This window comes from Homo sapiens, chromosome 10 (genome assembly GCF_000001405.40).
Source record: "Homo sapiens chromosome 10, GRCh38.p14 Primary Assembly".
NCBI lineage: Eukaryota > Metazoa > Chordata > Mammalia > Primates > Hominidae > Homo > Homo sapiens.
Window position 1 is genome coordinate 121,092,989 of NC_000010.11, and position 14,002 is coordinate 121,106,990.

Genomic DNA, 14,002 nt, shown 5'->3' on the forward strand with positions numbered 1-14,002 from the left:
GTTTCCCCAGGTAGGTTCTGGGAAGGAAACTCTTACCCCTGATTTGGAAGAAAGGTCCCTGGGTTCATTTTAAAATAATAAATATACAAGTGTATATTAATTAAAGAAAATAAACAAATGACATCATCTGTGGGTTTAGAACTCTTCTGTTCAGCTGTTGGATCCAAATAGGTTTTTATGATCCTGGATTTACATTCAGATTGGTATAGTGCCTGTGACTATGGTAGACTTTAACAGAGAGAAAGGAGTTACATTATAATCTGTATGCAATAATTCCTTTCCCATAGGTGGCAAGAACATGCTTTTCTTCCTGAATTTCCTTCACTTGGGTGTGAACGTAAAAATAATCAGTTGGAAAGTGTATCAGTTATTTATTGATATTTATTGCTGTGTGAAAAACCACCCAAAATATAGTCGCTTAAAACCACCATGTATTGCTTCTCATGGCTCTGTGGGTTGATGGGGTGGTTGTTTTTCTAGTCTCAACTGAAAGGCTCAACTGAGGCTCATTTGTGTGGCCTCATTCAGCTGGCCCCTCAGCCGGGTCTGGGGGGTCTAAAATGACCTAATTTACCTACCTGTCTGGCGCCATGGTACTTGGCCAGGCCTCTCTCTTCATGTGATACCTCAACATTCAGTAGCTCGGGTTTTCTTACATGGTGGCAACAGTATCAGGGCTTCATTATGCCCAAACTCTGGAGCTCCTTAATGTCACCTCTGCCACATTCTATTGACCAAAGGAAATCATGAGGCCAGTCTAGGCATAAAGGCATGATGAAATAGATTCCATATTCTAATAGAAAGGGCTGCAAAAACTATTTTCTTTGTTTTCACATACAAAATATATTCACTGCTTGCCCAAAGGTTGTATCCCATTATGGTGTCAGTCTTGGTCTCAAAGTCAAGGATCTCAATCCTCTAAATGCAGATACAGATGAGGTGCCTTGGCTGCTTTTCTACAGGTGCAGCACTATGGCCACATCTCCCCTTGAAGCAGAGGCCTATAAACTAAAGAGACGTGGTACCTGCCCCCTACTTTGCAACATACCTGGTGAAACAGGGACAGGATAATCACCATAAACAATTCCATTCAAAAAGAGGAGGAAGGGGAGGCACATGGCGGTTACGGGTCCATAGCACTTTGAAATCCAGCCAGGCATCAATTGCCACTTTCCCAACTCTAGGAGTATGGAATGCTCCTTGATTAGGATCCACTTCTACTCCTTTGGAGTGGTTCCATAAGCCATTGTTCTTGGCTCTTGGCTCCACTCTCAGGGATCTTGGCTCTGCCCCCTGAGTTGTCCTTCCTTTCCTATAAGAGATGGCACGTGTTTGCAATTGAGTTGTTTTCTCTGCCTGCTTCTGCCTATAGAAAGTTGAGGGTCCAGAAACTCTTTTCATTTTGAACTGTCTTTGTCCAAGTTGGGGGTAATTTCAACAATGCAATAGCGGTTTTGTTTTGTTTTGTTTTTTTTTGATCCTGAATATATATTTTTTAAATTTTACTTTAAGTTCTGGGATACATGTGCAGAATGTGCAGGCTTGTTACACAGGTATACATGTGCCATGGTGGTTTGCTACACCTATCAACCTGTCATCTAGGTTTTACGGCTGCATAGCAGTCCATGGTATATATGTGCCACATTTTCTTTATCCAGTCTATCACTGATGGGCATTTGGATTGGTTCCAAGTCCTAACAATGCAATATCTTTAACACTTTGTATGTTTCCCTTGACTCTGATTGGGGTTGAGTCTATGCCTGCAAAATTCTATCCCTTATTCTATTTTGAGGCAGATCTCTCTCTATTTTGAGCTGAGTGTGAATCTGCTGTGGGATACTCCTTTAAGATTCTTAAAGCCTGTTTGTCTGGCTCAGAGGCATGTTGGGCACCAGCTTAAGGTTTTCTGAGGTCTTAATAAAGGATCTTGCAGCCACAAACTTGATGGACTTTTAACCTCAGACTTTGTTTCACTTGAAAATTTTCTACTGGCAGGGGTGGGAAGTGTGTGTGTGTTGGAAATGAGAGCATCTTATTTTCTAATCAACCATGTCCTGGATCTTTTATATTTTTTTCTAAATTCTGCTTGTAAACTAAATAGCTCTGCCTAAAGCTCATCTCTCCCAGTACATATCATACACAGTTAGAAGAAGCTAAGTGGCACTTACAATATTCTGTCTAGAGACTTCCTTAGCCATATCTATGAATTCAGTAGGTAATTTTCTGTGTTCCAAGTTACCATGAATGATAGTTTGGACTATCATCCACCACTTCATAACCTAGCTGACTTTTCTCCACCTTCAATAGCAGTTTCCTCACCTTTTTCCAGCCCCCACCCATGGCGTCCATCCCACCTTCTGTGCACATTCTAGTCCAGAGCCAATGCCACCAATTTTGTGTTTTTGTTCCTGTAATGCCTCACTTTTATCTCTTTTTTTTTTTTTTACAATTTTAATTATCTTTGCTTTAATGATTTATGTACTTACCGCTTCGGTTGTTTTAAATGTTCATATTTACAATTCATTTATCATTACACTGCCAATCGTCCTTACAACATCCAACATTATCGTGCTAAGTACGTGTAACATGGAACTCCTCATCATGCTTTATTTGACTGGTGTCACCAGTCTTGCCCCTTTGTTTCCGATTTTTTTCATTTATTCATTCCATTAACAAATATTCACTGGGAAATACTAAGAGCTACTACATTATTCTAAGATGTCCACCACTGGGGTCAATAGAGCTATGAAGTGATGCCTCCTTCCATGTGAAGCATGGTATTCAAGAGAAGTGGTATGAGCTGACTCACATTTCACAGGCTCCCTCCCCATGCTATGTTGCTATTAGAAAGAGCAGACGCAGAAGTAGGGGAAGCATTGGGAGGCTCTGATGACATTCTGAGCAAGAAGTGAAGGTGCCAGGACCACACAGGCAAGGAAGGGATGTGACAGAGTCAGGTAGCAGTAGCACTGAAGATACTGAAAGGGACTGTGAAGCAACACCTCACTTTTAGATACAAAATGTAATGGTTAATTTTATGTGTCAATCTGACTGGGCTATGAGGTGCCCAGATATTTGAGCAAACATTATTCTGGCTTTGTCTGTGAGGGCATTTCTGGATGACATTGATATTTGAAATAGTAGACTGAGTGAAGCAGATGGCTCTCTCAGTGTGGGTGGGCCTCCTTCAAACTGAGGTCTCCTCCAGTTTTAAGGCCTGAATGGAGCAAAAGGGCTGACTCCACCTGCCTGACTCCTTCTGCTTGACTGCCTTCAGCTGAAACATTGGACTTTACCTGCCTCTGGACTCAAACTGAATCACTGGCTCTTCCTGGATCTCAAACCTGCCTGCTTTTGGCTTAGAATCTCTACCATCGACTCTCATGATTCTCAGGCTTTTTGGACTCAGACTGAAACTACACCCTCAGCTTTTCTGGGTCTTCAGCCTGCCAACTGCAGATCTTGTGAATTCTGAGCCCCCATAATCACGTAAGTGAATTCTATATAATAAATCTTTTCATAAATAAATATATATCCTATTGGTTCTGTTTCTCTGGAGGACCATCACTAATAACCCAACTTCTATATATTATTTACTGTTGTATATCAAAAACATCCCCAAAACCTAGTGGCTTAAAATACGGGCAGACAAACTTTTGTAAAGGGCAAGAGTGATGTTTTAGACTTGGTGGGCCATGTGGTCTCTTTGGCAACTCTCAACTCTGTTGCAGCTCCACAAGAGTAGCCATAGACAGTATGTCAGTGGATAAGTGTGGTGGTGGTGTTCCAATAAAACTTTATTTACAAAACATGTGCCAGATCAGATTTGGCCCATAGACCCCTGATTTAAAACCATAGTTTATTATTTCTCATGACTCTGTGGGTTGACTGGGAAATTCTGCTGGTCTTGTCAGGCTCACTATTGCAGGCAGCTGCAGTCAGCTGGTAGCTCAGCTGGGGCTGGCGGGTCGAAGGTGACATCACACACATGCCTGGGGCCTTCATGCTGGCTGCCGGCTTGGTTTATCTCTCCATGTGGTCTCTCATGATTCAGTAAGCTTGCCTAGGTTTCCTTACATGGTAGCTGAAACATTCCACGAGGACAAAGGCAGAACCTACATGCCCCTTGAGGCCTAGGCTCCAGAACTTACACAACTTATGCTGCATTCTGCTGGTCAAAACAAGCCACAAAGCCAGACCAGGTTCAAGGGGTGGGCAGTAGACTCCACCTCTCGAGTCTACAGGGAGTTGCTCAATATCATCGTCATTATTTTTCAATCTACCCCCAGAAATAAACTGGAATGCCTTAGCTTTCATATCTCCGTAGAAATCCACAAGACTCCATGAGCAGTTTCAGCCCCTTGCTACCAGCATGAGTCAGTCAAAGCCAATTCACTAGCTGAATTATGAAACTAAGCTCTCTTATCAGCCTTGCCTAAGCCTTTTGATAGCTTTTCTTAGAATCTTGGTCTAATTCTGAAGGCAGCCCGAGGTAAGAAGATATGTTCACTGGGCCCTGGAAAGTAGAAACTAAAAGCCTATGGGAGACACCCGTGTTTACAAGAAAATGAAGATGCAGCCCTGTTAGCTTTCCCCATCCTGTTCCCTTTACCTGGATGCCACAAATAAGGGGTCACAGGGTGATACTAGACACTATAGAGCCTTAACATTTTCAACTAGATCATGAGCATTTCCTGGAAGTGTTTCAAACTTTCTCAAGCTTTCTTTGGGAAATTCTCTGAGCATTTTCTTATCTCCAAAGTTGAAATCAGAGCAATTTTTTTTTAACAAAAAAATTAAAATTCCTTGCTGATGTGGGCTATCAGATACTTCCTGTGGAATACTGATCTCATTATTTATAAGTCAAATGCTTTAGGATCAGTCTGCTAACAGATGTACATTTAGTTGTAGTATGTCTTTGATTCATAAGCCAAAAGAAAAAATGTTTACTGATATAACATGTAATGCATTTTTACCTTTAAATAAAATTTCATATAAAAATATAAATGTATTAAATATATACCTCTAGAGGCTAAGGAAATAGTAAAAAATATTTCTCCTTCCTCTGCTTAAAGCATTCTTTTCTAAAGTAGCCATTTTAAAAAGTCATCATCAAAATGCATGAAAATGGAACCTTCCCAAGACACCATTAATTCTCCCGTAGAGAAAGCCAATGTGGTTGATTATTTGCTTTATGAAAGTGTTGATTTTTTATGACTCTTTGTTTAAAGCTATTTATCATTGAAAAGGCTGTGCAAGGCCAGATATAGAATTCATTTTCAAAGGTAACTTATACCAAAGAGGCAGCAGTGGTATTATCTGCCATGTGGACTTAAGAACTCTTGTTCTCTGAGTAGGTTTTAAATCAAAAGCGTTAAGTAGAGTTTAAGCCCCGTGTCATTTTAAATTCCAAGCTTTAGATCCATGAAGCATGGATTTTATGATGGAAATGACAACTGACCCTCATCTGTAACAAATACAGCAAACTAACTTTGTGGCTCCCTCAGTAATTCTGAGCAAGTAGTGCAGGCAGATAAGATATGAATGACTAGGAAAATGTGTATAAAATCAATTGCCAACGAGTGGTTCCTGAGGGCTTACCAGTTGTCCTCTCAATGTTCAGCTGGTGTTCCTGTCTGCCTGTGCCCTGGAAAGGGCTTCCTATCTGCCAGTCTCTCGGTAAAATTTTTTATAAGCAACTTTACAGAATTTACCAGTATTTACTGGAAATAATAGTAAAACAATAGCAGTTACCACTTATTATTTACCATATGCCATGTACTAGGCTACATACTTTCATGCTTTATGTCATTTTATCCTTACAACAACTCTGTGAGATAGTTTGCAGATGCTTTTCCAAGTTTTATAGACAAAGAAATTGAGGCTCACAACATTTAATAATTTTCCCAAGGCTGCACAGATTATAACGAGCAATGCTGAGACTCAAACCCAGATCTGTCTGACTCAGACCCTGAGCTCTAATCTATTGCAATAGTCTCACACTTAATCAACCACCCTCCTTGTGTTGCTATCTCCCTAATTACAGTGTAAGCTTCTCAAGAGGAGAGACATGCTATATTCTTCTATGGTATCTTCCAGGGTAACTGGTACAGACGTTCAATACAAGGAATTTATCTGCTAGTTTAAAAAAAATTGTATATTCATAATTCACTGAGGCTTAGAATATCTGTCTGAAAAGTCCCCATCTTTCAGGGAGTTTTTCAGTGCCAGAGCACAAAATAATTTTCTTTAGCGTTCAATTTAAATTTAATCAGCTAAAAACTCACAAACTAGCAAGCCATGTTTGGAATGAAACTCCAGTGAGGCTGAAACAATACAGGAGGTGAGGAGCAGACTTCTTGGAGAAAGCAAAAGAATATGCAAAGACGCATCAATTAATCATACAGTGCTTCGGATGATCAATGTCTCCTTCAACGCGCCACAGAGCTCTGGATTTGAGAGGAGTGTTAGCATTAAAGCTTGATAAAGTTATAGTCATCTCACAAATTCCACTGTCACCTCATTAGATATGAAAAATAGAATGCTTTAGGACACTTGGAGATATTTTCAGTAAAAATAACATTTTTTTCTTTATAAGGGAACTGAAAACCACCTCCTAATTGCATTGTGAGCAGTCATGACAGACTGCACAGCCAGTGGGGTCAGAGCCAGAGGTCTGGTAGTGTAAACTGTCCTCCAGCCTATGAGGGTTTCCTCTCCAAAGAGAAATTGTTGTTAAAGCCTTAATTGAGAGGTCAGTGGTCTTAGGACAGGCAGGAGATAAGCCACCAGCTATGTGAAGTAATGTTGACTTTGATCTGCCAGGCCTTTTGGCATAGAAAGAAAGCCAGCCTTGAGCCAGAGGTTCTCTAATCTTCTTAAAGATAAGCTGTAACTGTTTGGCTGGGGTGGGGGTCCAGAGCAGAGAAAGGATTTCTCTTTTTGTGCTGTGGCCAGACTTATGAATGACTCAGTTACTGCCTGACATCCCTGCCCAGGCTCTAACCATACTCCGGAATGGCAAGGCAACCTGTCCTAAGGGGGCTTGTTGGAAGGAAGAGTCTTGAAGAGAAGACCATTATATCTACGGGAGTTACCACCATTCCCTTCTCAGGAGCTGCTTTGGAAGATGTCCAGTGGATTATTTCTCCAAAGAAAGCCAGGATCAGCAGATAACTGATCAAAATGTCTCAGGAAAGGAAGTGTGGGTGGGAGGGAGAGAAGGAGAGAAGAAAGAAAGATTTGAAGAATTGAGTTGTTCGGGATCTCTGTGCAATTCCAAGTTTATGAAAATAGAATCGTACCACTTAGCAATATATATATATATATATTTATAATATATATATATTGCAAGCATATATATCTATTTATTACAGTATGCATATAGCTATATATGCATATAGCTTTTTTATTTCTCCATAGCAAAAGATCAATTTATAGAAATTGGTGGAGGTTCGTCCAAGAAATGGAATCTTTCTGCTAGAAAGACAGCTCAGAAGTTGGTAAATTCTGCCTTGCCTCTCACTGATTGGAAATCACCGAAATGATTGATTCCTGGGATTGGAAACCACGCAGACAGGAAATAATGGGACCAAATGACTGAAGGGGATCTTGAGCACTCTCAGATGGAGAAAGGATCAGTGCCACTGTCAGGAGTCTTTGTATAACCCTTCTGCCCTTACAGTGTATTTTAAGGCGTCACTTTATAAAGCTTCAGCCAGAGAAGGGAGAGATTTGGGGTGCTTTACAAATGGGTGAGCCAAGATGCATAACTTGTGTTTGGAAAAGAGAGCTCAACTACAAGTAGCACCATTCAGAATAGACATGGATCCTCCAATCCCGAAGTTCAGAAAAAGTTTCTTCCATCCAGTCAGGCACTATAAACTCTGACCCAAACAGAACGTGGGCACCATCTACACTAACGTTCATCCCAGCAACCAAGACTTGGTAGGCATATGTGTACCCTTGTAGCTAGGCATGATGCCACAGTAATGACTGCTTTCCACATCTAGTGGGCTAGACTGCACTTCCACAAGCACCATCTTGCTTTGACTTGAAGATTTCACAAAACTGCCATGAAATAGGTTGTGCTTATTGCCACCTCCCTTTTAGATTTTCAGAACTGGGGTTCAAGAATCGTGGGTTTACATGTTTGGCTAATAAAGGTTGCTTAGCTAATAAGAGGCAGTGACAAAATCTGTACCTAGATCTTTGAATATAAGACAGAAAACATACTAAGGAGGCACCATGCAGCAAGACCCCAATGTCAACTTCCAACTAACATTTTATAGTAATTGGTAATTTAGACTAGAAAGGAACCTCAGATGCCAACTCTCTTCAAGTCGGGAAATTCCCCATGGAAAGACATCCAGACCTAGACTCCCACTCATCCAGTACTTATACCATGGTGAATATCAATATCCATCATGGATCATCAGGGCGTCACCAGCCAATGGAGTCTTCACCTTCTAAAATATTGCTGGTTGCCATGGCACAGGGAAAGAGAATGTGGTAAATTATGCTCTAGCTCTTGGCTCTGCCATTCACATTTCAAGGGCCAAATCAAGTCACATGATCACGCTTAACTTCAAAGGCGGGAGAGAAGTGCCACTCTACTATGTACCAGGAAGGGGGAAAAAAGAAGAATTAGTAAATGTCTTAATGGCTTTCCCAGAGTCCCTCTCATGAATCCAGGGAGATATTGATAATCAGTGTGCTCCATTGAAGTCAGTGGTCACAGATGTGAATTTTGTTAGTGTATTCCTTGAAGAACTTAGCCAAAAATGTTGTCTGGTATTCAACTGAGGAATGGCGTTATCTTAATGTAGCTGAAAAAAAAATGTCATAATGCCTGGAAGAGGCATCTTTGAAGATTTCACAGACAGACAGCAGACCCAGGGAAGATGCTCAGAGGGGAATGCTTATTTTTTTGGAAGCACTGGGGTCGTAAAGCCATGATAAATGTACTCCCCATATCCCTCTACCAGTCTATCTTTTCTGCTCGTAAAAGAGATAGAGAGGAAAAAAGAAAAAGAAAATAGAAACCCCAAAAAGAAATCTGGAAGTAACTGCAGAGTGGGTTCTTGAAAGTGTGGCACAGTACTCTAGAAACAAACAAAGAACATTTGGAAAAAAAGTCTTTAGTTCTCCTGAAGACACAGAATTTCAAAGTAATCCAAAAGCCTCATGCCTGGTCCCCCTTCTTCCATCTCAAATTCTTGAGAACCCTCCTTGGAGCATGCTGAGAAATGGATCTCTAAGTCAACAAAAATTTAATGTCAATTTCTAAGCACCCACAAATTCCTAAAATACAGCAATTTAATATTATTTATCATTTTGATATTATTTATCTCCAAAATATGCATTGCATCATTATCATCAATCGAATATTTTCCCAAAGGAACGAAATTAATTGCCCACCAGAAAAGTTTTGAAATGTTTACATGTATTGCTTTGTATAAGCATGAAAGTAGTGTGTGGGAGCCTGTTTATAAGTTAGCAAAGTGTTAGTAAACTCTGGTTTGACACTGATAAGGTTCATATGAAAGTCATCACTGAAACTGTTGCCTAAATAATAAACAGGATCTCTAGGCCTATCCTTTTTCAAGCATGCCTCATTAGATTAAAAAATATATACTGTACCCAGAAGAAACACATAGTATACAGAAAAGATGGCAGCATGATTGTTGCATTTAGTGCAATGTTTAGGGAGAAACAGCTCTTGGGGAGATCCAGTGTCTCACTGCCCAGGGTCTCAGTTGGGTCAACTGTGGGCAAGTCACTGAGCATTCATTTTCCTCTTTTGCAAAATGGTGATAAGAATATTGCTTTTCCTATAGGGTTTCTGCCGGAACTGAATGAGATAAGTCTTGGAAGGCACCTTAAACAGTCCTGGCATATAGTAAGTCCTCAATGGACTGGCAAACTGCCACTGTTGTCAAGCGAGCTTGGGTTTTCTCATGAGACAGACCAAACATCGTGATGCCTCAAAAGGGTCTTTCAGTAACCATGCCCTGCCAAGAGAAGACCTTGCAATTCAGTGTTTGGAAGGAAAAGACGGAATGCAGGAGACCCTGGACTTTTGCCCCACCATCTAGGGGTAGATCTAGATCTGCCAGAAACCACTGGGTGATCTTGAATGGGTCACTGCAAATCAGCTGGACCGCAGCTTCTAAGAAACAAGAAATCTAAATTGCATCCAAAGAAAAAAAAAAAAAACCAGCAGCATTAAAAAACAAGAAGACTGGCCAGGCGTGGTGGCTCACACCTGTAATCCCAGCACTTTGGGAGGCCGAGGTGGGCGGATCACAAGGTCAGGAGATAGAGACCATCCTGGCACACATGGTGAAACCCTGCCTCTACTAAAAATACAAAAATTAGCCAGGCATGGTGGTGCATTCCTGTAATCCCAGCTACTCGGGAGGCTGTGGCAGGAGAATTGCTTGAACCAGGGAGTTGGAGGTTGCGGTGAGTCAAGATCGTGCCACTGCACTCCAGCCTGGCAACAGAGCGAGACTCCATCTCAAAAAAAACCAAAAAAACAAAACAAAAAAGAAAGCTGATTATATTTGAAATCACAGCATCTACTCTTCAAAAGATATCTTACTGGGAGCTGAAACAGAGAAAATTGCTTAATGCAGCAATGCTCTGACTGTCACAGAGTAGGGAGTTCAGAGACCCACACCTGAGGACTCCTCTTCTCCCAGCTCCTTTCTGCACACTTCCATTGTGAGCAGTGCCTCCTGGGTTGTGCAGTGAGGGACCCTGACTATCTTGCACTGTGGCTCCCAGCATAGTACCTGCCGACAGCAGAAAATCAATGCATGTTTGTGGACAGCCCATCTACTGGATTCTAGCATCTCCACTCCATAGGATTTTATACTCTGTTTGTACTATGCTTGGCACAAGATCATGCCCACAAGCATAGCTCTTTGGTCATCCACAAATATGGAGAATTGATATTGGGCTAAGCATGGAAGAAAAAACAGAAACAGACCTGGTCTCTGCCCTCACAGAGGGTCATGGTAGAAGGAAGCATAGAGAATGGTGTTAGTCTGCCATGACTGGATTTGGGGCCTGGTTCTTCTACTGGGCTTATTCATGCAAATGTCTCAAGCAACTTTCCTAATTTCTGAGTGTCCATTTCATCTGCAAAATTAAAATAATATTCCCACTTTGTACACTGTTATGGGTCCAGATCAGATAACTTATAGAAAGCAACTAGCATATTGCCATCAAACTCAGAGCTCAAACGCCAGCCCCTTTCCTGTAGTGTTTCACCAAGAAGGGCACAGAACTGTTAAAAAGCCTGAGATTTTATTTGCCTCTATATTGTAACAATGCCTGTCTACCTTTGGGACTGCCCTGCCCTGACCCAGTTTCAGAACCGAGACTGTCCAATTGTGTTCGCATTGGTGCATTAATCATGCAGCTCCTGAGTGAAGGGCTCGCACTGTCATGACTTTCATTACCTCCAGACCAGGCACTGGCAACCACTCCACAGATCATTGTTCCAAGCAAGCCATTGTTCCAGCTTTTTCCTCTGGGCAAGCCTTGGATGGAGTAAGGTCTTCTCCAGCCTAGGAGGCTACACTGTGCAGTTTCAGGGAAAGACAAAAGGCTGGATTCAGTCTGAACTCAGCCCGCACATGAAGCAGCTGCTCAACTAGCTGGAGCTCCAGGCCAGCTCTTGGGCTCCCAGGTCACAGGCCAAGCCCAGCCAGACAATAGAGGTGAGATGATGCCACCCTCCAGTGGGCAGGCAACACCCAGGAGGTGGGGCCTTTAGTCACTCACTTCATTGTTACAGTCATAAGGAAGGAAAGCATTTAGTTATTTTCTTTAGGGCAAAAATTGTCAAAGGAAGAAAAGAGCTGAGTGCTCTTAGCAGCCCTCCCACTGCTTCTACTAGCAAGCCCCTTCTGTCTACCTGGCCACCACCTGGTAGTGTTTATTTGTATAATAAAGGCTGAAACAGATTATACCTAGCCAGGGAACACATGCATTTGATAGAAGCTCATGTCTCAACTCCTTTGTAATCACTGCATTTTACACCTTTGTAATTTTCTTTGTGCTCCCTTGGAAGGCACCAAGCAATGGTTTTGTGTTCCCATCAGACTAACCTGATTTACAAACAAAACAAAACAAAACAAAATAAAACAAACAAAAACTTAAGAAAAAAAGATTTTTTCTGCACAGTAAAAATGTGTTAAGGTAAAATTGCAGGCCCTATTTTTAGGGGGGCTCCAAAGCACATTATCCACTGGCTCAGTACAAACACATACTACCCTACCCTGCTAATTCCACCCCCATAGAACTCCCTCTGCCTCTTCCATATAGGTTTTATCCACATTCAGCCACAGTGGAATTGCTTAGGCATGTGTGTGCCTTCCTTGTGAGTGGGGAGCTCCAGGAGAGCACATATTATGTCCAATTCATCTGCACCTGCCGCACAACACCCTGGGAAGGCGCATAGCACCAGAAAGTAGGACAAGCTTTCACATATATTGAGAAACTGCAGCTATGTGATCCCATATATTATCTCCAATACTAATATTATGCCTGTCTTCTGGAAAGAAATGGAAGTTCACTCTGAAATTCCAGGGATACTTTGCTCTTTTAAAGGAGTAGTTTCCCAGGTGTTTTTTAGACTTAGTGGACCATGTCTAAAATCTTTCTTTCCAAATAGCTCTACTTATCACCCTATACCAACAATTCTCATCCATAGCATCATGACCCACTGGTGGGTCAGCTTCATTTGTGAGTTGCAGTTCAAGTAATTTTTGCTAGTGAGACTTTAAGTAGCTAGGATATTAAAGTTTAAAAGACAAAAGAAAATTATAGCAGATTTCAGGCTGGCCGCTAATGACCTGTTTTCACTCATTTGTCTTCCCATCTGCTATTCTGAGGGAGAAGGAGGTAGAGATGGGCGGTCCATCACCCTCTCCATCCTTTTCGGTCCTAGACACCCCAGGTCAGAGGGAGCCTCCATTGTTCATGTACTATCCTAGCTTTGGCAACACATTCATGGAGGGCTCTACTTCCCAGAAAATTTGCGGTGCAGAGTTTTTTGGAATCTGTGTTCCCCATGGATTGTGATTGAGATCTATGCTGGGACAGGGGAAGACTGGCAACCCCTGACCTCCACTAGCACCTTTAGAAGACTTCAGATTATCAACTTCCTAAAATGGTTTTAGTTTAAAAAGCTACTCATCACTCAGCCCCATTAGAACTCCCCCAATCCCATGTTACAAAGAATAATATGTAGCAACTACTTTTGGGAGTTTTTTTTTTTTTTTTTTTTTTTTTGGACAGAGTCTTGCTCTTGTCGCCTAGGCTGGAGTGCAGTGGCACAATCTTGGCTCACTGCAACCTCCACCTCCTGGGTTTAAGCAATTCTCCTGCTTCAACTTCCCGAGTAGCTGAGATTACAGGTATGTGCCACCACGCCGGGCTAATTTTTTGTATTTTTAGTAGAGATGGGGTTTCACCGTGTTAGCCAGGATGGTCTCGATCTCCTGACCTCGTGATCCGCCTGCCTCAGGCTCCCAAAGTGCCAGGATTACAGGCGTGAACCACCGCACCAGGCCGGGAGTATTTTAGTGTACTTTTTCATAACCCTTACTTTAGTTTATTCTCAAAATTGCCCTAAGAAGTAGACCAAGAAAATATCAACTGTCCCGTTTTATGAATGATAAATTGTTTCTATGTTCTAAAGAGGCATAAACAGCAGGGCAGGTGTGACAGGGACACACTGGTTTAAGCAAGCACGGTTCTTACTGAACAAGCAGTAATGCAGTCTCAGCTTTGTGTAGCACAAAGAGAGGCCTTTGGCCAGAAACCACGTGTATTATTGTACTGTGAGATCAGCTTCTGCAGTAATTGCCTGGGGAATATCCCCGCTCCCTATTTTTTTTTTTAAGCAATAAGCATTTTTGCATGAATCCAGAACCAGCACTCATGGACATATCTAAAAGAGCACAAAGCACTTTGGGAAGTAATT